The 22,959-nt window shown below is 36.4% G+C and overlaps 1 long non-coding RNA gene across 1 annotated transcript in view; it reads left to right on the forward strand.

The window, feature by feature from the left end:
* The window catches only part of LINC02789 (long intergenic non-protein coding RNA 2789), a 244,710-nt gene that overhangs the window by 97,792 nt on the left and 123,959 nt on the right, over positions 1-22,959 (forward strand). The gene's annotated exons all lie outside the window — the stretch shown is intronic.

Below are 22,959 nucleotides of genomic sequence, written 5' to 3' on the forward strand. Positions count from 1 at the left end.
TCTAAGAGGGAAGGCACAGAAGGGGAAAGAAGAACTTGAAAGGAAAATAAATTTAATTTTCCATGGAAAGTGGGAAGGAGATAAAAGTAAGAATTTGACTTGTTTTCTATCATAAGCAATATTTCATAAGAAAATGATAATCCCTTGTTAAATGACATAAAAATAATATAAAATTACTCATAAAATAATTGTAAAAAAGACTTGCAACAAGTAAACTTTGATAAGCCTTGCTGTTTTCCATATCTTTTACTTTTCTGCTTTTAGTGTTTCTGTTTTCTATAATGCATTTGTGCCCCTAAATTCAATATTATCTTCCTAATTTTAACTATTCTGATTGAAACTATATTCCTTTCAATGCTCTATTTTCTTTAACCTAAGTATTTCTTGGTTTAGTAAGATTTTTCCTATGTCAAGGCAAAGATCTCTTCCTGCTCATTTAATCTAATGTACTACTAGACCAGATGTGAGCAAAGGGTTGGCGATAGATAATCATTTAAATTATTTAAATTGAACTCTCCATGAGTAGGGCATCAGATTACCACATCAGATTACTGCATAGCTATTACCAAAATCCATTTTCAGTTATACCTCCAGGCATTTTGCAGAGGTAAAGGATGGGAGCTGTTTTGCAGAGGGTATCAGTAATGTATATAGCTAAGAAATGACTATTTAAAGTTCGTAGTGTGGTACAAGGTATGTACTTTGTTTACGTCCCTGCCTGAATTAAACTACTAATTATATCCACTACGAACACAAGAGAATGCATTTGTAATGGAAAAGCTCTAATTAATATTCCTTTGTTTTGGTTCATTAAGGAGGAGACAATAATGATTTGAGACCAAATGAAAACATAATTTAAGAGGAAACCCAAAAATCAAGAAAAACATTAGTGATTGAAGAACACATGAAATAACATTACTCAGCAGAGAACTAGAAGATACTGGGATTAAAAAATGGATCTGGAACCCCTGTGAACAATGATTTTGGACTTTCTGAAAGAGCTTCCTCTTGCCTTCTAAGGCAGTTAGTTATTTACTCATTCCAGCACGCCAGAAACCATCATCCTCAAGTGGATCTCCTAAAGCATGCCTTGTCTTAAGCAAAGAGAACATGTAATGCACCATTATCATTTGCTACCTGTAACTGCACTTCTTTTTCATAGCTCTATCAGACACATTGGTGTGTTATAACATTCTGGTTGAACTCCAGTCATTCAAAATAATATACCATAGTCATAAGCCCTAGCAACAAGTGAGAAGAATCTTGCTGCTTACCCCAAATGGAGAGAGGTCATGGTAATTTAGTGACAGATATGAAAGCAGTCATAACTGACTGATATTCCTCCTAAAGAGAGTGTCTGAAGTGTTATGGCTATTCTGCCATGATACATCTAACAGACTAATTACTATACATTTCTGCTATTCCTCATGGGGAATAACAGTAGGCAGATCTGAAATATGTATCTGAAGATATTTACATTTTTAGTAGAAAATTAAAGTGAATGACTGCCTACATATGTAGTGTGGCAGAGCTGGATATGATTTTTGAAACATACCATACAAATACCATAAGCATAGACTGTTGGCAAGAGTTGCATGAGTGCATATCAAGAAGCTGGCAAAAATGTGTCTGACAAATTATTTCATGTACTAGCTTGATCAAAAGGTATTTGAAATGAACTTAGGTGTGGAGCTGAGAAATAAACAGATAAAAATGCAAATATGGACAATAGAAATAGCTATAAAAGGAAGTCATTTGATGAAGGAGAGATCCAGGAATTTCTCATAAACATTAAGATGATGAAATATGGGGAACAAATGTTATCACAGGTCTACAGACAAATACACTCAAGTCAGATAACAAAGTAAACAATATAGAAAAGGAAATGAATCTCATTAGATGCCATTGCAAAGGTACAATTTAGACTTGATTGAAATAGACTCATGACTAAAATCCATCACTAAGAAAATATGCAATGTTTAAACACAAAAAGTTTTAATAAAAGAATAAATTTGTATTTATATAATAAATATCCATAAAACTGAATATGGTAATATGGTGAAGACTATTTGTTTATGAATAGAAATAAAAAGAACCAGAGCAGTTTTCATAAGGAAAGAAACTATACATTTCCTGGCAGAATTAATGATGTGGACAATGCTTTTCTAAGGTGAACCACAGAATGGACACAGAGAGTACGTTCTGATAAGAGGCTTCAAGAATTTCAGAAAACATCTGATTTTAACATGGTCCAAGATTGAAGTTTCCTATTCTTCTTTTAGAACATATCCAAAAGCAATTTGGAAAGCAAGCTCCATTTTTGATGAAATTAGGAGACAGTGGTAATCTCAAATCATAATATGTGAATAAAAAGGCTGCCAAACTTAATAAAGGACAAACTGAAATGCAAGAGGATCCTTAGAGGACGTCAGATATTGCATATCTCAGATACAACTGGTAAGACACAAATCTCTCAAGCAAGTGACATTTACTGAGGGCCAATACTTTTCTTTTTCAAAATAAGAGAATTGTGAGCACTGGCTGATGGTTGGAGTTTTTCTGAACCCAGTTAGCATGACAAAGAAGCTGGTAGGAAGAGGAGAATAAGAAATACAAGAAGCCCCATTTGCAATAGCAGTTAGGAAGCAAAGAGATGAAGGTGAGGGAATCTGCAAGGTGGCTCCAATCTCTGGTGGCCAAGACAAGTAAAGGCTAAGAAGACTAAGAGGACTTCTTGCTATTACAAGAAAGACTCACCACTTTCAAACTAATCAAAAAGGAACCAGCCAGTGCTCAACATCCCTAATCATGAGGAAAATGCAAATCAAAACCATGTGATATCACCTCACAATTGTTAGGGTGGCTACTATCAAAAGGACAGGACATAAATGTTGATGAGAGTGTGGAGAAAATGAAACCCTAGTACACTGCTATTGGGAATGTAGATTGGTGTAACCATTTTGGAAAGTGGTATAGAGATTCCTAAAAAGATAAAAATAGACCTACTGTATGACCCAGACATCCTTCTTCTGAGTGTATACCCAAAGGAGATGAAATCACTGCTTCATAAAGATATCTGCACTCTCATGTTCATTGCAGCATTATTCGCAATAGCCAAGATATTGAAACAACCTAAGTGTCTGCTGGTGGATGAATGGACTAAGCAAGCACACACGATGGAATATTATTCAGCCTTAAAAAAGAAAAAAATCCTGTCATTTGCCACAACATGGATGAACCTGGAGAACATTATGCTAAGTGAAATAAACTAGACACATAATGAATATTTCCTCATCTCACTTATTTTTGGAATCTTTAAAAAAGGTCAAATATGCAGAGATAGAGAATAAATAGTGACTACCAGGGGGTAAAAGGTTGGGATAGAAAATGGGGAGATGTAGGTCAAAGAACAAAAAGTATCAGATATGTAGAAAGAACAGGTCTAGATATGTAATGTACAACATGAGGACTATAAGTAATAAAATTCTATTTGGAATTTTTGTTAAATAAGTAGATTTTAGCTGCTACTGCCACAAAAAAGTAACTATGTGAGATGATAGATATGTTAATTTACTTCACTGCAGTAATCCTTTTACCAGCTATATAGCCCATAACATCATTATGTAAATCCTCAAATATGCATAATAAAATTTATTTAAAATTTTTTTTAAAATATAAAATAAAAGGAATGAATTAAGGATCTATATACAATGACTAAAAAATAAAGGAAGAAAGATATCAAGACATAAAGTAGAAACTATAACAAATATAATACTAAATTCAATGCGATAAATAGAAAAAACCTTTAATGAAATAGACTTTATTGGAAAACAAGAAGAGGTACAAGAACTCAAAGAAGATACGGCAAAATAACATAAGCTGGCAAAGTTTAGGAAAGAAGTGGCTTAGAAAACAAATTAAACTGTTACAGAGTTGAAGCCCACATTGGAAACAACATAATGGAGTATAAACCTAGCTGAAAACACAGTAATACATATATGAACGGCAGTGATGAAAACAAGCAAAATACAAGGTAAGACGACCATTACTGAAAAAAGATTCAAGGGACAATGTAAATATACAATACCAATAAAGGAGATCTAACATCTACATACTTGGTACCCCTAAAGAAGAAAACCAAAATTATCAAAAATAAAAAAATCAAAAATATAATTCAAAGATACTCTCTGGAAATAAAAGGGCCTACCATGTCAGAGGAAAACCTGACACAAAAAGATCAAAGCCGAGGCATATCCTAATGAAGTTATTGGACTTCAAAATTAAAGAATTCTTGTAATATCCAGACAAAAAGATATGTCACTTATAAGGGAAAAATAATTAAGTGGGCTTCATATATCTTCATAGTGATAGCTCATGCTGGAGGGCGATGTTGGCAACTAGTAGAACAAGATTAAAATTTATCTAAATCAGCAATGAAAATATATAAGGGTATAGCTAATTAAATAAACAGACCACATACTGATTCTGACATATATATATATCACATTTTTCATATATATGTAAAAACAGAAAGAATAATATAATTATAATATAGAATATAATATATAATATAGAATAATATAATAATAATATAGAATAATATAAATTAAAATCAATGGATAAAGACTAAAGTAGTGTAATATCAATGTGAATTGATTAAACTATAATATTAAAAGTAAACAGTCCTTATATCAGCTTCCAAAGCCAGGACCAAGCTACATTCTGTGTACGCATGCTGCACATAAAACACAAGTGATCAGAAAGTTGGGAAGTACAAGGGTGAATAAAGACATAGCCAAATGCACCAAGGGGGAAAGCAGGAGTCATGGATCTAATGATAGGCAGGGTTGAATTCAAAATGTAATCAAACAAAGAGCACCTTACAATGAAGACACAATAGTTTTAAATATATACCTACATTTCTAACCAGTACACTGAATACGAATACCAAAACACAACACAATATAGCATTGGCATTAATAAAACAAAGATTATAGGACTAATAAGCTAAAATAGAGAAACAGTACCTGTAGGAAACTAATTCACTTTTCCAAACCCATGAAGAACAAGGACTCAACTAGAAGCAAGGATAACAGTAACACTATCTAACCACTTTTAAGTCTTACTATGCACCAAACATGAATTTAAGTGGGTTATACATGCTAATGGATTTAATCTTTTTAAAAAACTAATGAGGCAAGAACTCTAATCACAACCAGTTTAAAGATGAGGAAAATAAAACACAGAGAGGTCAACTATCTTGTTCAAGGTAAAATAGTAAATAGGAAAGTTAGCAACTTGAACTTCACGAGAACGTCTTTATGGTTTGCTCTCTTAACTACAACTGCCTCTCCTGTAGAAAGAGGTAAGTTAAGTAATGACGACGTAGGTCTGTTTGTTATATATCAAACTTTTTGCCTGAATACCTTCTTTGCAAATGCACATTTGTCCCAGATATTGAACACAGTTTACTAGATCACAAAAATATCTCAAAACATTCTCCAAGCAGATACAGTATAGAATACAGTAAATCTGATCACAATTCAGTAAATCTGAAACCTATATTTTAAAAAGGTAATTTAAAAAATTACAGCATATATAAGTTGTAAAAGAACTTTCTCTTACATTACTTTTTAGACACAGAGGAAATCAAAATTGACATAAAATGTATTTTGATATGTATACTGATTTAAATCGGTACCAGAAATAAAAGTCCCTGTGCCACTATCTAAAGCTAATTTTTTCCTCTGTACCTTAGATCATATCACCCCAGCATTCTCAGAAATAATCTGTTGATTATCCCTTGTCTCCTGTATATATATTCAAACCCATTTTGTAATGGCTGCTTTCCAGGGGCTTTTAAATATGGACAAGATTTTCTCATAGAAGAGTCTACCTTTCAAACTCTTCAGCTGTTTATCTATCTATCGATCGATCGATCTATCTATCTATCTATTTATCTATCTATATCTGTTTATCTGTTTCTATTCTCTCTCTCTCTCTCTCTCTCTCTGTCATCTATATATCCATCAATTTGAGACAAGATCTCACTCTGTTGCCCAGGCTAGAGTGCAGTGGCACAATCATAGCTCACTGCAGCCTTAAACTTCTGTGCTCAAGCCATCCTCCCACCACAGCCTCCTGAGTAGCTAGGATGACAGATGCTTGCCACCATGCCCAAATAATACTTAACTTTCTTTTTACAGGCAGGTTCTTGCTATGTTGCTCAGACTAGTCTCAAACTCCTGGCCCTATGTTGCTCAGAGTAGTCTCGAACTCCTGGACCTTCATCTCCCTTTCACAGCCAAACTTCTTAAATGAGTTGAAAATATTTAATATCACAGGCTTGATATTTCTCAACTCACAGAAATCTGGCTTTCTGTCTCATGTATACTCTAAAACAGCTTTCAGTTATATTACTTTGAAACAACTCAACAACCATCTTCATGTTGCTAAATGAACATTTCACAGCCTTCCCCATTTCTTAGTCACATGAATGCTATTGGCCATACCTTCCTTTAAAAAAAAAGTTATTTTTTATTTCAATAGGTTTTGGAGGAACAGGTCATGTTTGGTTACATGGATAAGTTCCTTAGTTGTAATTTCTGAGATTTTGGTGCACCCATCACCCTCCCCAAGCAGTGTACACTGTACCCAATGTGTAGTCTTTGATTCCTCACCCCTCCCACCTTTTCCCCTGAGTCCCCAAAGTCCATTGTATCATTCTTATGCCTTTATGAACTTATAGCTTAGCTCCTAATTACGAGTGAGAACATAAGATGTTTGGTTTTCCATCCCTCGATTACTTCACTTAGACTAGTAGTCTCCAATTTCATCCAGGTTGCTGCAAATGCCATTATTTTATTCCTTTTATGGCTGAGTAGCATTCCATTTTATATATATATGTGTGTGTGTGTGTGTGTATGTGTATATATATATATGTGTGTGTATATATATATGTGTGTATATATATATGTATCACATTTTCTTTATCCACTCATTGATTGATGAGCATTTGGGCTGGTTCCATGTTTTTCCAATTGCAAATTGTGCTGCTATAAACAAGCATATGCAGGTATCTTTTCATATAATAACATCTTTTCGTCTGGGTAGATACCTAGTAGTGGGATTGCTAAACCAAATGGTAGATCTACTTTTAGTTCTTTAAGGAATCTCCACACTGTTTTCCATAGTGGTTGTACGAGTTTATATTCCCACCAACAGTGTAAAAGTCTTCTCTTTTCACCACATCTACACCAACATTTATTATTTTTTGGCTTTTTGATTATGGCCATTCTTTCAGGAGTGAGGTGGTATCACATTCCGGTTTTAATTTGCATTTCCCTGATAATTAGTGATGTTGAGCATATTTTCCATATGCTTGCTGGCCATTTGTATATCTTCCTTTGAGTGTTGTCTGTTCATGTACTTAGCCCACTGTTGCATGGGATTGTTTGTTTGTTTTTTCTTGCTGATTTGAGTTCTTTGTAGATTCTGGTTATTAGAATATAGAAAACACTTAATCTTTTTCAGATGTATAGACTGTGAAGATTTTCTCCCACTCTGTGGGTTGTCTGTTAACTCCTGATTATTTCTTTTTCTGTACAGAAGCTTTTGGTTTAATAAGTCCCATCTATTTATTTTCGTTTTTGTTGCATTTGCTTTTGGGTTCTTGGTCATAAAGTCTTTGCCTAAGCCAATGTCTAGAAAGGTTTTTCCAATGTTATCTTCTAGAATTTTTATGGTTTCAGGCCTGAGATTTAAGTCCTTCATCAACCTTGGGTTGATTTTTCTATAAGGTGAGAGATGAGGATCCAATTTCATTCTCCTACTTGTGGCTTGCCGATTATCCCAGCACCACTTGTTGAATAGGGTGTTCTTTCCCCACTTCATGTTTTTGTTTGCTTTGTTGAAGAGCAGTTGGCTGTAAGGATTTGGGTTTATTTCTGGGTTCTTTATTATGTTCCATTGGTCTATGTGCCTATTTTTATACCAATACCATGCTGTTTTGGTGATGATAGCCTTACAGCATAGTTTGAAGTTGAGTAATGTGATGCCTCCAGATTTGTTCTTTTTATTAGTCTTGCTTTGGCTATGTGGGCTCTTTTTTGGGTCCATATGAATTTTAGGATTGCTTTTTCTTGTTCTGTGAAGAAAAATGGTGGCATTTTGATGGAAATTGCATTGAATTTGTAGATTGCATTTGGCAGTAAGGTCATTTTTACAATATTGATTCTACCCATCCATGAGCATGGGATGTGTTTCCATTTGTTTCTGTCATCTATGATTTCTTTCAGCAGTGTTTTGTAGTTTTCCTTGTAGAGGTCTTTCACTTCCTTAGTAAGGTATATTCCTAAGTATTTTAATTTCTTTTTACAGCTATTGTAGAAGGGGGTGGGTTCTTAATCTGGTTCTCAGCTTGGTTGCCATTGGTGTATACCAGAGCTACTGATTTGTGTACATTAATTTTGTATCCTGAAACTTTGCTGAATTCATTTACCAGTTCTAGGAGCATTTTGGGTGAGTCCTTAGGGTTTTCTAGGTATACAACAGTAACATCAGTGAACAGTGACAGTTTGATTTCCTCATTGCCAATTTGGATGTCCTTGATTTCTTTTGTCTGATTCCTCTAAGACTTCCAGTGCTATGTTGCATGGAAGTGGTGAAAGTAGGCATCCTTGTCTTCCTTGTCTTCCAGTTCTCAGAGAGAATGCTTTCTACTTTTTCTCTTTCATTATAATGTTGGCTGTGGGTTTGTCATAGATGGCTTTTATTACTTTAAGGTATGTCCCTTTTATGCCAATTTTACTGAAGGTTTTAATCAAAAAGGGATGCTGGATTTTGTCTAGCTGGATTTTGTAAGATGTTTTTTCTGCATCTATTGTGACGATCATGTGATTTTTGTTTTTAATTCCATTTTTGTGGTGTATTACATTTATTGACTTGCAGATGTTAAACCATTCCTGCATCCCTGGTATAATACCCACTTGATAATGGTGGATTATCTTTTAGATATGCTGTTGGATTTCATTAGCTAGTATTTTGTTGAGGATTTTTGCATCTATGTTCATCAAGGATATTGGTCTGCAGTTTTCTTTTGTTGTTATATCCTTCCCTGGTTTTGGTATTAGGGTGATACTGACTTCACAGAATGATTTGGGGAGGATTCCCTCTTTATCCTGTGGAATAGTGTTTACAGGATTGGTACCAATTTGTCTTTGAATGTCTGATAGAATTCAGCTGTGAATCCGTCTGGTCCTGGACGTTTTTTTGCTGGCAACTTTAAAATTACCATTTCAATCTCTCTGCTTGTTATTGGTCTCTTCCAAGTTTCTATATCTTCCTGGTTTAATATAGGAGGGTTGTATATTTCCAGGAATTTATCCATCTCCCCCAGATTTTCTAGTTTAAGCATGTAAAGGTGTTCATAGTAGCCTTGAACACTCTTTTGTATTTCTGTGGTATTAGTAGTAATATCTCCCATTTTGTTTCTAATTGAGCTTATTTGGATCTTATGTCTTCCATTCTTGGTTAATCTCACTAATGGTCTATCAATTTTATTTATTTTTTCAAAGAACCAGCTTTTTGTTTACTTTTTTTTTGTATTTTTTTGTTGTTTCAATTTCATTTAGTTCTGCTCTGATCTTTGTTATTTCTTTTCTTCTGCAGAGTTTGGGTTTGGCTTGTTCTTGTTTCTCCAGTTCCATGAGATGTGACCTTAGACTGTTTATTTGTGCTCTTTCAGACTTTTTGATGTAGGCATTTAATGCTATGAACTTTCCTCTTGGCACCACTTTAGCTGTATCCCAGAGGTTTTGATATGTCATGTCACTATTATCATTCAGTTCAAATAATTTTTAAATTTCCATCTCAATTTCATTGTTAACCCAGTGATCATTCAGGAACAAGTTATTTAATTTCCATGTATTTGCATGATTTTGAGGGTTCCTTTTTGAGTTGATTTCCAATTTTATTCCACTGTGGTCTGAGAAAGCACTTGATATAATATCAGTTTTCTTAACACTTGTTTTGTGGCCTATCATATCGTCTATCTTGGAGAAAGTTCCATGCACTGAAGAATAGAATTTATATTCTGCGATTGTTGGGTAGAATGTTCCATAAATATCTGTTAAGTCCATTTGTTCTAGGGTATAGTTTAAATCCATTGTTTCTTTGCTGACTTTCTGTCTTGATGACCTGTCTAGTGCTGTCAGGGGAGTATTGAAGTCCCCTACTATCACTGTGTTGCTGTCTATCTCATTTCTTAGGTCTACTAGTAATGGTTCTATAAATTTGAGAGCTCCAGTGTTAGGTGCATATATATTTAGGATTGTGATATTTCCCTTTTATCATTATATAATGTCTGATATGGTTTGGCTGTGTCCTCACCCAAATCTCATCTTGAATTCCTACATGTTGTGGGAGGGACCTGGTGGGAGGTAATTGAATCATGAGGGCAGGTCTTTCCTGAGCTGTTCTCATGATAGTGAATAAGTCTCATGAGATCTGATGGTTCCATAAGGGGGAGTTTCCCTGCACAAGTTTTCTCTCTTTGTCTGCTGCCATCCATGTAAGATGTGACTTGTTCCTCCTTGCCTTCTGCCATGATTGTGAGGCCTCCCCAGCCACGTGGAACTGTAAGTCCATTAAACCCTTTTTCCTGTATAAATTACAGTCTCGGGTATGTCTTTATCAGCAGCATAAAAACGGATTAATACAATGTCCCTCTTTGTCTTTTTTAACTGCTGCTGCTTTAAAGTTTGTTTTGTCTGATTTAAGAATAGCTAGCTACTCCTGCTCACTTTGGTGTCCATTTGCATGGAATGTCCTTTTCTACCCCTTTACCTTAAGTTTATGTGAGTCCTTGTGTTTTAGGTGAGTCTTTTGAAGGCAGGGGATACTTGGTTGGTGAATTCTTATCCATTCTGCAATTCTGTATCTTGTAAGTGGAGCATTTAGGCCATTTACATTCAATGTTAGTATTGAGATGTGAGGTACTATTCCATTCATTGTGCTATTTGTTGCCTGAAAACCTTGGGGTTATTTATGTATTTATTTATTGTATTTTTGTTTTATAGGTCCTGTGAGATTCGTGTTTTAAAGAGGTTCTGTTTTAATGTGTTTCCAGATTTGTTTCAAGATTTAGAACGCCTTTAGCAGTTCTTATAGTGCTGGCTTGGTTGTGGTGAATTCTCTCAGCTTTTGTTTTTGTGAAAAACACTGCATTTTTCCTTCATTTAGAAGCTTAGTTTTGCCGGATACAAAATTCTTGGCTGATAATTGTTTTGTTTAAGGAGACTTAAGATAGGGCCCCAATCCCTTCTAGCTTGTAGGGTTTCTGCTGAGAAATCTGCTGTGAATCTGATAGGTTTTCCTTTACAGATTACCCGGTGCTTTTGCCTCACAGCTCTTGAGATTCTTTCTTTCATCTTGACTTGAGATAAACTGATGACTATGTGCCTAGGCGATGATCTTTTTATGATGAATTTCCCAGGTGTTCTCTGAGTTTCTTGTATTTGGATGTCTGGATTCCTAGCAAGGCCACAAAAGTTTTCCTCAATTATTCCCCCAATTATATTTTCCAAACTTTTAGATTTCTTTTCTCCCTCAGGAATGCCAATTATTCTTAGGTTTGGTCATTTAACATAATCCCAAACTTCTGGAGGCTTTGTTCATTTCTTAAAACTCTTTATTTCTTTGTCTTTGTTGGATTGGGTTACTTCTAAAACCTTGTCTTCCAGCTCTGAAGTTCTTTCTTTTGCTTGTTCAGTTCTATTGCTCTGACTTTCCAGTGCATTTTGCATTTCTCTAAGTTTGTCCTTGATTTCCAGAAGTTGTGATTGTTTTTGTTTTTTATTTATGCTATCTATTTCACTCAAGAATTTTCCTGTTATAGGCTGTATCATGTTTTTTTATTTCTTTAAGTTGGACTTTGCCTTTCTCTGGTGCCTCCTTGACTAACTTAATAATCAACCTCCTGAATTATTTTTCTCGCAATTCAGAGGTTTCATCTTGGTTTGGATCATTGCTGGTGAGCTGATATGATCTTTTAGGGGTGTTAAAGAAACTTGTTTTGTCATATTACCAGAATTGTTTATCTAGTTCCTTCTTATTTGGGTAGACTATATCAGAGGAAAAATCTGGGACTCAAGGGCTGCTGTTCAGATTCTTTTGTCCCACGGAGTCACTGGGTTTCAGATGTATATACAAAACTGCCTAGTTTGAATGACAGCTCAAATTCAATATGTATAAAATCAAACTTAGCCTCTTCCTCTTCTATTGTCTTAGTGAAAGATACTTTCACTAACTCAGTTGCTGAAGCCAGAACTAAGAAGCCATCCTTGACAACTCTCTCTCCCTATACCTTCCCATGTTCAATCTATTACGAAACTCTGTTGATTTTATCCCCTAAGTATACTTTATATCTATCTAATTCTCTTCATATTCACTATTGCTTCTATAATTCAAAATTAAATGATTATAAAGTACTTAACACATATTACTAAATTCTGGACAATAATACTTAATAAAATATGCAAAATATAAAGTAAAATAACACATGAATCCACTTGCCATTTTCTTAATTTCAAAAAAAAAATATATATATATATACCAATGCTCAGCCCAAGTGCTGCTTGTGGGGGAAAATTCAAGTTTAAATCCAAGGCATCATAGAGGACACAATGTGATTGAAACAAATTTAACAAACTCAACTTATTAGAAAATGGAAGGTTCATCATTCCTGTGTTTGGCAGCCCTCATAAAACCTTTCCTGTTACCTTAGTGGAGGTGGAATTTGGAAATTTTGTTTAGAAGGAGCAATAGGAAGTAGAAGGTTTTAGGTTCAAATACATCTCTCTAATTTGCAAAGTAATTTATGAATGTTTAATTGTCATCTCAAGAGGTAAATGTATCCTGAACATAAAGAGAAGAAATAATTTTATTGGAAAGCTCCATGTATAACACAATCCCTTCTTCACTCAACAGCATCATTTAGCATTCAAGTCGACAACAAAGACCTGATACATTTTAGCTTCAAAGTTTTGCTCTTAACCACTGTGCTCTACTATACTACCTGCCATTCAAAATAACAACTTGTGAACCAAAAACAAGGATCAGAGACAAGGCAGAAAATAGTGTCATCAACTGTTGAATATGCCATGCAGGGTTGATAGGACTTAGTCTTCAGCTCATGGGAAACATGTCCTTGGCTGTCCAAAAATAATACATCCTTTTGGTAACAGTCAAGATAGGCTGCCTCAGTAAAAACAGCCCTCAGGTTTTCAGTGATTTAAACAGCAACGGCTTTATTTCTCATTACCACTCTACAAGTTCATTGTTGTTCTCTTTTAGAAAGTGAAGCTAAGGAAGCCTCAATCTCTTTGATTTCACCATTGCTGAAGCAGGAAAAAAGGGAGATGACAAAAGTGTCCTGACTTAAAGTTTCTGTCTAGAAATGACATAAATCATGTCTACTCACATGGTCCTTTCCAAAGCAAATCCTCACAAAAGGGGTAGGAAAATGTAATTCTACCTTGTGCCTGGAAGGAGCAGAGTAAGGCATATTTGATGAATGAAACTAATACCTCGAAAAGACCTTGAATCGGAGGACAGAGTTAAGCCATACCCAGTTTCCTGACCCACAGAAACTGTGAGATAATATATGTTAAGTCAGTTAAAAACAAACAAATAAACCAACAAACAGAAAAAACTAATGACTACAGTAATAACCACAACTTTACAGAATATTGGGGTCCTAAATCAGAATGTTGTTGCAACATCCAGTGAAAGATAGGGAGGCCCGAAGTCTACCCTGTGTATATTCCTGTGTGCTGTCTAACCTGTGGCTGCTCTGTGCATCAGGACAAGCATGGTAATAAGCTGAGTATGAGTTGAAAGTTGCTTGGTACTCACCAAGGTAGGGCAATGGGAATCAGTTACCTGGTTCAGACATTTCATAATTTTCAATGGAGATAATTTAAAACACCCATTTCCACGTTGTATTTTACCATGGATAGAATAGATTAAACCTCTGACATTCTCTCCCCTGGATATTGTTGGCACAAACACCTCACTCTTTCTTATGAATGTCCCTCAAATCTGCAAATCTACATTATTCTGGAAGTTAATTATTTTGCTGATCAGGCCAATGGTGAACAAAATTTTCTCTGGTCACCAAATTCACCAGGCAATGCTTTTTTTTTTTTTTTTTTTCCTATGGGTTAGGGTTGACACAAACCCAGTACTGAGAGTTCAACTGTCTTCTCAGCCTTAGCCTAGGAAGGTCAGGATGAAATACTCCAGATTCAAATGTGTGCCTAGACCAGTCCTCTAAACCAAGGGTAATGTAGAGGAGACTGTAGAAACTGGGCTTCACATACAAACAAATAATTTATTTGGACTGTTGTAAAAGCATTAAGCTAATCCTTAGGAAATAGGGAGGTATCACAGCTGTCACTTGAAAATCTGTCACCTCATGAGGGGAGCCTCATTATTACAGAGTATTTTACTCTTATCATTAAAGAAAATGGGCCATACCATTCCTCAGGAGGCTGTCCTAACTCATTCTGTGTGTCCTTGGACAGCCTAAGGCCATAATCCTCACCTTGCTGAACCTGAGAGATCGGGGGTAGGAGGAGCACAGGCTTCCTACCTCAATCTTACTCATATGTTTTATGTTTTAAGCAGTCTCTGCAGTGGAAAGGTGCCATACTTCTGTGCACTTGTTATGGGTAGAATTGTGCCACTCCAAAACGTTATCAAAGTCTTAACTCCCAGCACCTGTCCATGTGACCTACTTGGAATTATGATCTTTACAGATGATCAAGTTAAGATGAGGTTATTAGTGTGGAGCCTAATCTAATGTGATTGATGTCCTTCTAAAAAACAGAAATTTGGACACAGCAGCAGACATGCATTCAGAGAGAACAGGCAGGTGAACATGAAGGCAGAGATCAAGATGATGTATTTACAAGGCAAAAAATACCAAAGATCGCCGGTAAACCCCAGAAGCTAGGAGAATAGGCATGAGACAAATTCAGTCTCTGGGGATGGTGGGGGACCAGACTCAGCCCTCAGAAGGAATCAGCCCTGCCAACACCTCGATCTCAGCCTTCCAACCTTCAGAACTGTGAGACAATACATTTCTATTGCGTAAACTACCCAGTTAGTGGTATTTTGTTTCAGCAGCCCTAAGAAATTAACACAGCACTGCAAGTCCATGTCTCCCTGAAGATGCTAGGCCTGATAACATTGAGATTTCATTTGCCTGGAGTTCATTTTCTTAAAAAAAGCTGTCTAGGCCCATCCAATGATTTCAGTTAATCCTGCTTTGAAGTCCTATATTTTTCCTTCAGAGACCAGATTTTTCTGTCTCACATACTGAGATCCAATAATATCACTATTTCAATAAATATGGAAAATTTTCCTGAAACAGGACTCTTTGATGACATAATTATAGAAATCTCTATGAAAAAAACAAAAAATACTCAGTAATATGAAAATTGAAATTATATTGGTGACAGTCTATTGCACACAGCATGCTTGAGATTATATGAGCCAATGAATTTAGCTATGAATGTTTAAAAGGCCTTGTCCCATTTAAAACAGTTTGGAAAAGCAATGGATTGCATTAAACAATATAATAATATGAAAAGATTAATATTATCCAGATTACTAAACTAATACTGAAGAAATTCTCTTTAAATAGAAGTATTCTAGAAAGTTTCTAGAAAAAAATTCCATTGGTTATAGTTTTTGTGTTTAAAGTCCTCTCTACTCCATGGAATGTAAACTTATCTGCAGGTTTCATTCAAAATTACATAAAGCAGTATAAATAAATATGTCTATTACAAATATTTTATTGCTATGTCTTTATGGATGGTTTCAGGGAGAAGAAATCCTGTGGACTGTAGATTGTGTTTAGTACAGGAGGCATTTTCCCCAAATCTGAGTTTCTCTTTTCAAATCACTACTGGAGACCACTTGTTAAGTATCAGATTGTGATAATCGGATCAAAAAATAAAATATGTGTGTTTACTCAATCTAGTGTACATCAAGACTCTCTCTCTCTGGCCTGCCCATGCAGTCAGAGTCCTGAGTGCCAGTATGTGGCCCACCACTGGCAATCCCACTGTCTGCTGCCTGGCTTCCCCCCAGAATTAAAGCAGCCACTCACCTGGCTCTGTGTATTGGTTGAGGAGGCAGGACTTCACTGGCTGGGATTAGCCTCTATGAACTGACAATTTACTACTTGTATGACCTGAGTTGAGTCACCATATGAAAACTGAGGATAATAATAGTATCTACTGTTATGGGTTTTATGATGATTAAATGAGATAATATAAAACGATTAACACACTTCAAGGTATATAGTAAGCACTGAAATGTATCAACTCAAATTATCATCCAATATTTACTAATCTCCCATCTTGTCAGCCACTGTGCTGGGCTGGAGGGACCTGAAATGAGTTCATCATTGGCATGAATTAATCACAAGCTCAGCCGTTTCAAGGAAATATTTGTGCCTAACACATTAGATTGTAACTTTTCTTGTATATTACAAAACCAGAGCTTAAGTTTTATCACAGATGTAGACTAATAAAAGTATGTTCATAGAAAAATGAGTGGCAGGACACTGTAGTGGCTGAAAGCATGAGCTCAAACCAGACTGCCTGGGCTTGGATCTCAGCACCTTTGCTACTTTGTGTAATCTTGGGCTTATTTATCTTCTCCGTACTTTAGTTCCCACATTTATTAAAGAAGAGATTATAATACTACCTACCTCACAGGATTATGCAGAGAGATAAACAAATGTACAAAAGTAAATGTAAACAAAAGCAAAATGCCAAGAACAATCTGGGCACATAGAGAGTGTGTTACGAAGTGTCTGCTAGCTCTATTGTGGACTAAATCAAAGGCTACACACAGAGGAGATACAATTAAGTCATCCTGAGGAGAATAAGGACTTCTGAAAGAAGTTTGAGAAGGGTTTGGAGGAATAACTAGAAAATGGGCTGGGCACCGTGGCTCCTGCCTGTAATTGCAACACTTTGGGAGGTGGAGGTGGGAGGATAGCTTGAGCCCAGGAGTTCAGGGCTGCAGTAAGCTATTATAGCGCCACTGCACTCCAGCATGGGGAGAAGAGCAAGACTCTGTCTCAAAAAAAAAAAAAAAAAAAAAAAAAAAGAAGAAGAAGAAAAAAAGGAAATGGGCAGGTGCAGACTTAGGAGAAAGGATGTAATGCATTTTGGATAGAAGACAGTGTGTGCAAAGGCAGACTTTGAATAATGTAGTGTAAAGCAATAGCAAATAATTCCATGGTTTTGGAGCATAGGAAGCTCAGTGCAAGAGGTAGATGGTAGGAATTTATGTTAAGAAGCAGATACCAAATAGATACACTGCAGAATGAACATTGTATGATCCCCTCAGAAGTGCAAATTTTATTTCATTAGTGATGGGGGTACCACCAAAGGTGTTAGGGCAGGAAAAATGCATGTTGAGTTATTATTCAGTAAATATTTATTGAGTGCCTTTTATTTTAAGCAACGTGGATACAGAGAGTAATAAGTGAGACCAGTTCCTTTTTGTTCAGAAATCTGCATTACAGTAATGGCAGAAAGAAAATAAACAATGTGAAAATATATTAAGAAAATGTTCGATTACATAATTACAGAGGATGAGGATGATACGATGGATCACAGGGAATTGGGACTTTTTATACTGAGTGGTCAAGAAAAGACTCTCTGAGAATATAATATCTGGGCTAAGACCAGAAGAAAGAGCAGGAGGCTTCCATACAGGGAGAGAAAGGGATCAGGCCAAGGGAAGAGAACAGCAAGCATGCAGGCCTTGAGGTAGCAAAATGCCCAGTGTGTTCAAGGAACAAAAACGAGGCCTCCTATGGCTGGAGCCAAATGAGCAATGCGTGTGGTAGAGACAACAGCTGCCCATCAAAGATCTGTGCTTCCCCTTCATAGTGTGGAATTATAGCTAGAAAGCCACTGTCCAACCAGTCAGTCACCTCCCTCCCCTCTTGCATCTTGATGGGGCCATGCGACTAGCTTCAATTTGTCAGCTGAGTATCCCCAGGTCAAACCTGGAAGCTTCTTATTGAGGGTGGAAGAGCTTAGTCAGGCTGGGTTTCTGAATGACTGGTTGGAACAGAATCCTGTTGTCCTACCTTAGATTGCTAAATGAGCAAGAAATTAGCCTTTTTGTGTGTTAAGCACTAAAATATTGTTTGTTATAGCAGATAGCAATACCTTAACTAGTATATGGGGTAACTGGTATAAACTGAGGTCAGAGAAAGACTAGATCAGGTAAGGTTTTATAGATCTCAGCAAGGAATTCAGAGCTGTATTTTCAGGTATCTCTGTGAACAGTGTCCTATAAAAACCTCAAACTCACATAATAACTGAACTTACCATTTTTCCTCACCCCTACTTGCTTTCCCTCCTGTATTTCCTCTTTGTTGTGAATATAAAATTATTGAAACTTACTGATTCTCTACAGAAGAGAGAAAGATTAAAGGAAGGAGAACACAGTGAGAAGAATACATACAGGAAGCATCTCCATGAGAGAAGAAAGCAGTGTGGTATATCAAGAATTGCATTGACTTAATCTTTATTCTCAGACGTTTTGAATTCCAATCCTGGTTCTACCACTTACTGGCTGAAAAATGGTGGACCATTTACTTAATCTCTTGGAATGTCATTTCTATCACATATGTACTGGAATGTGTTCTAACCAGAGTTTCCATGTCTAGGCCAACAATTAGCCACAAGTGATAAATTGTAATTGACTGCTCTGATATAACTAAATGAGTCACAAGATATTATCTATTCAATTAAAAAAATTAAAAAATGTCAAAATATTTTAAATATGTCAGGGATTTTTCTTTCACTTTACTTAAAAACATATGTGATTCTGAAGATACTATGTATAGTAGCATACAGGATATATAGTATAGTATATATAGGTCTTATTTATTAAATTATTAAACGCATTTTTTCCTGGTCTCAAATCATGAATGGCCTTGGTGACCTCAGAGCTAGTGATTTCAGAACTTAATGTCAAGAAATATTTCGGTGTAAAGCTTGGGTAAAGCATTCCACCTTTTTCTACTATCTGGTGATTCATTTAAATGCCTCATATGTACAGTGACCATCCAGATCTCTGCAGTGTTAAGAGGCCCCACGGGTACACAAGCAGGGAGAGGTGTCTTTCCAACAATTCTGAGTTGCAGACAGAAAGTTTTGCTTTTAGAAAATTATATTTGGGATCCTAGAATTTAAGTTTATACCATTTTCTATTATCCAAGCCAGTGTTGTTATTTGGGAAACAACTGTTTAGCCAAGGACATTTGATAAATAAGTTGTCTTCGGTATCAGTTAAAAACCTAAGTAGTTCAGAAGGTAATTCCATCAGATAGCTGTTCTAAATGCTAATTAGAAATTTGTGTATATTTTACATTTCTGACTTTGGTTTACATACATTTTATTATTATATTAAACAATGCAGTTAACTATATAATCTTTTAGGGTTTCCTGGTACTAGTAATTTTCTTCATCTTTTTCCTTCTCCCTCATTCTCCTCCTTTGATCTTGCTCAGGTTAGCATAAAGAAATCTGGGTTTTCTTTGTGGCTTTTCTACTAAATTGTGATGCAAATGTGATCAAATTTGATTTTAAATCTCTGGACTTTGGTCTCTTCACCTATTGATTGTAAGACCTTTCTAAGCCTTAGTATACATACTTACATATATACATACATACATACATACATACATATCTATATATAGGTATAGACATAGGTATAGATTTTATTTTAAGAATGTCCATCATGGGCAAATGAACAGAGAGAGAGTAGAACAGAGTATATAAGAGCACATATTTTTGGAATCAAATGCAGCAAGCTCAAGCTCCATCTCTGCCAAGAACAAGTTGTGTGGCTTTGGCCAAATTACCCTCCCGAAGCCTTATTTCCATCAACTGTAGAATGTAGATAAAGACATTACCTAACTTATAAGGTTGTGCTTGTTAAGTAGTGAACTTACTTCAGTGCCTGAAAGAGAGTAAGTACCCTTAATTATTAGCTCTTGCAACTATTATTCATAGGGACCCTTCTGTGTATGGATCCACTGTGAAAAAAGTGAAAAAAGAAAAAAAGTCTACTGTGGGTAGGTTCAATTCCTGGAACACAGTTTAGCCAGCGAATGGCACCTTTGTGCCAAGGAATGAGCATCCCTCCCTTTGGGCACAAAATCCTATAGGAGGTCCCAATCATTAGGGGTAATTGCAAAGCAGACAGACTCAGTAGAACTGAACGTACCATGAAAGGAGGAGCAGTGAAATGAAAACACAGACACTTTGCAATCTAGAATGTTCTATCTTAAAATGTTGAAAGAGAAAGCAATTATTTTACACAACTCTCTCATCTAATTGAATCTCCTTCGTGTTATCTTTTAATCTGAGTAGGTTAGAGAAAAAGAAATGATAGTAAGAGCAATATGTCTATTACTGATGAACCTAATGAACTAGAAATTTTGCTGTACAAATAAATGATGCAAACTGTAATCATTTTGAATTCAAAAAAGAAAATATTTCTGAATTATACTGTTTTCTTAATAAAAGTGCCAAGTTGAAAATAACACATAAGACAGGCATGGCTTATATGTGAAATACGAACATTGTCAAAGCACCTCACCCCGTTGTTTTCTGTAAAGAAAATAACTATTTATTTTTCCTGTTTCCTGATGATGCTGTGGTAGGTAGAATTCCTAAAATTCCCCCACCCAAAGATGTCCCACTCTAATTCCAGGAAGCCATGAATATGATGAGCTATCTCTTCCATAATGAGGCCATAATATATGGCACAGTTGACCTTAAAATACAGAGATTATCCAGGTGGGCCTGATACAATCACATGAATCCTTAAAAACAGAGAGATTTCTCCCACAGATGGCAGACTCCAAGAATAGGAGGAATTCGATGCAGCATTGCTGACTTGAAGATGGAAGGGACCACATGACCTGGAATATGGACAGTCTTTAAGAGCTGAGAGTAGACCTCAGTTTACAACCAGCCAGCAAACATAGACCTCAGTACTACAACTGCAGGGAATTGCACTCAGCCAACAGCTGAATGAGGCTGGAAGCAGATTCTTCCCTAGAGCCTCCAGTTAAGAAACCAACCCTGTGCACACCTGAATTTTGGTCTCATAATACTTGAGTAGTAGAGAATTTAGCCATGGTGGGTCAGACCTCTGACCTATAGAAACTATGAAATAATAGGTCCGTGCTGTTTAAAGCTGTGATGTTTGTGGTAGCTTGCCATCATGCATTCTCATCTAGAATCTTTATTAAAGGAAGATCTGTTTCCAAGATCATTCAGGTTGTTGGCAGAACTCATTTACAGCTTTGAGCAGTCTATCAGCTGGAGACCACCTGCAGTTCCTTTTGGGCAGCCTTTTAATTTCTCAACATGGCTGCTTATTTTATCAAGCTAGCAATGAGAGTCTCTCATTCCAGCTTGCCAAAGCAGAATCTCAGATAACATAATATAATCACAGGAATGATAGCCCAGCATCTTTGCCTGAAGACATACTACACTAAAGACAGGAGTGACATTCCATCACTTTTGCCATATTTTCTTGGAAGAAAGTCACAGGTTCCATTCACTTTGGAGTAGGGGATTATGGGCTGTAAACATGGGGACCACCCTAAGAGTAGTCTGCCATAGCCCATTTTCTGGTCTCAGTAATTTATACGTCTCCCACATGCAAAATACATTCCCTACTCCCAAGGTCCAAGAATCTCATCCCATTATATATCCACTAAAATTACAAAATTTCATTCTCTAAATCGAGTGCACGTGTGGATAAGGTCCCTGGTTATAATTCCTTCAGAACAGCTTCTAGGCACAATTCCTCACCATCTCTGGGTCTGTAAAACCAGAGAGACAAGTTATTTGCCTCAACATATCCAACATACAGTGGTGGAGCAGGCATAGGGTAACAGCTTCAGACACTCCAGTTCAAAAAGGGCAAAAAATAGAAGTGGAAAAACAATCACTGTTGGATAGCAGTTCAGAAACCCAGCTGGTTACACTCCAGCCAGGGTACCTTGATTAGGTTTCAAGGCCTGGAATAATCCTCCATGGCTTCTGGCTCTACATCTGGGTTCTTGATTCTATCTTTTTTGCTGTCCTTCCTTTTTCATAAAAGATACATGTTTACAGCTGAATAGTAATCAGCTGGAATCTGCCAGTAGAAATGTAGGGGTCCAGTAGCCTCCTTTCTTCCTTTCACTTTATTCTCTCTCTCTCTCTCTTTCCATCTCTCTCCCTCTTTCTCTCTTCCTCTATCTCTATCTCTATCTCTCTCTATCTGTATCTCTATCTCTATCTTTCTCAGTCCAAGCTTAGCAATGTTTCAGCTGAAATAATTTTCTCAATAACTTTGTGTGTTTCCTATGGCTTTTAATGGGGTTCACTCTCAGAAAAAAGCTCCATCCACACTTCTTTTTAAGACAAATTCTCCTTGCCAGGCATGGTGGCTCACACCTGTAATCCCAGCACTTTGGGAGGCCACGGTGGGTAGATCGCTTGAGGTCAGGAGTTTGAGACCAGCCTGGCCAACATGGTGAAACCTTGTCTCTACTAAAAGTACAAGAAAGAAAAAATTAGCTGGGCATGGTGGTCTGTGCCTGTAACCCCAGCTACTCAGGAGGCTGAGGCAAGAGAATTGCTGGAACCTGGGAGACGGAGGTTGCAGTAAGCCAAGATCACACCACTGCACTCCAGCCTGGGAAATAGAACGAGACTTCATCTCAAATAAAGAAATAAATAATAAAATAAAAAACAAATCCTTCCATACATCAGCCTCCTTCTGAGCTGTCTAAGGAACATCTCCATTCAATTTCCTAAAGACCCTTTGGTTTGATTGAGAGGATCTGAGAAG

The sequence above is a fragment of the Homo sapiens genome, chromosome 1 (assembly GCF_000001405.40).
Source record: "Homo sapiens chromosome 1, GRCh38.p14 Primary Assembly".
Lineage (NCBI taxonomy): Eukaryota > Metazoa > Chordata > Mammalia > Primates > Hominidae > Homo > Homo sapiens.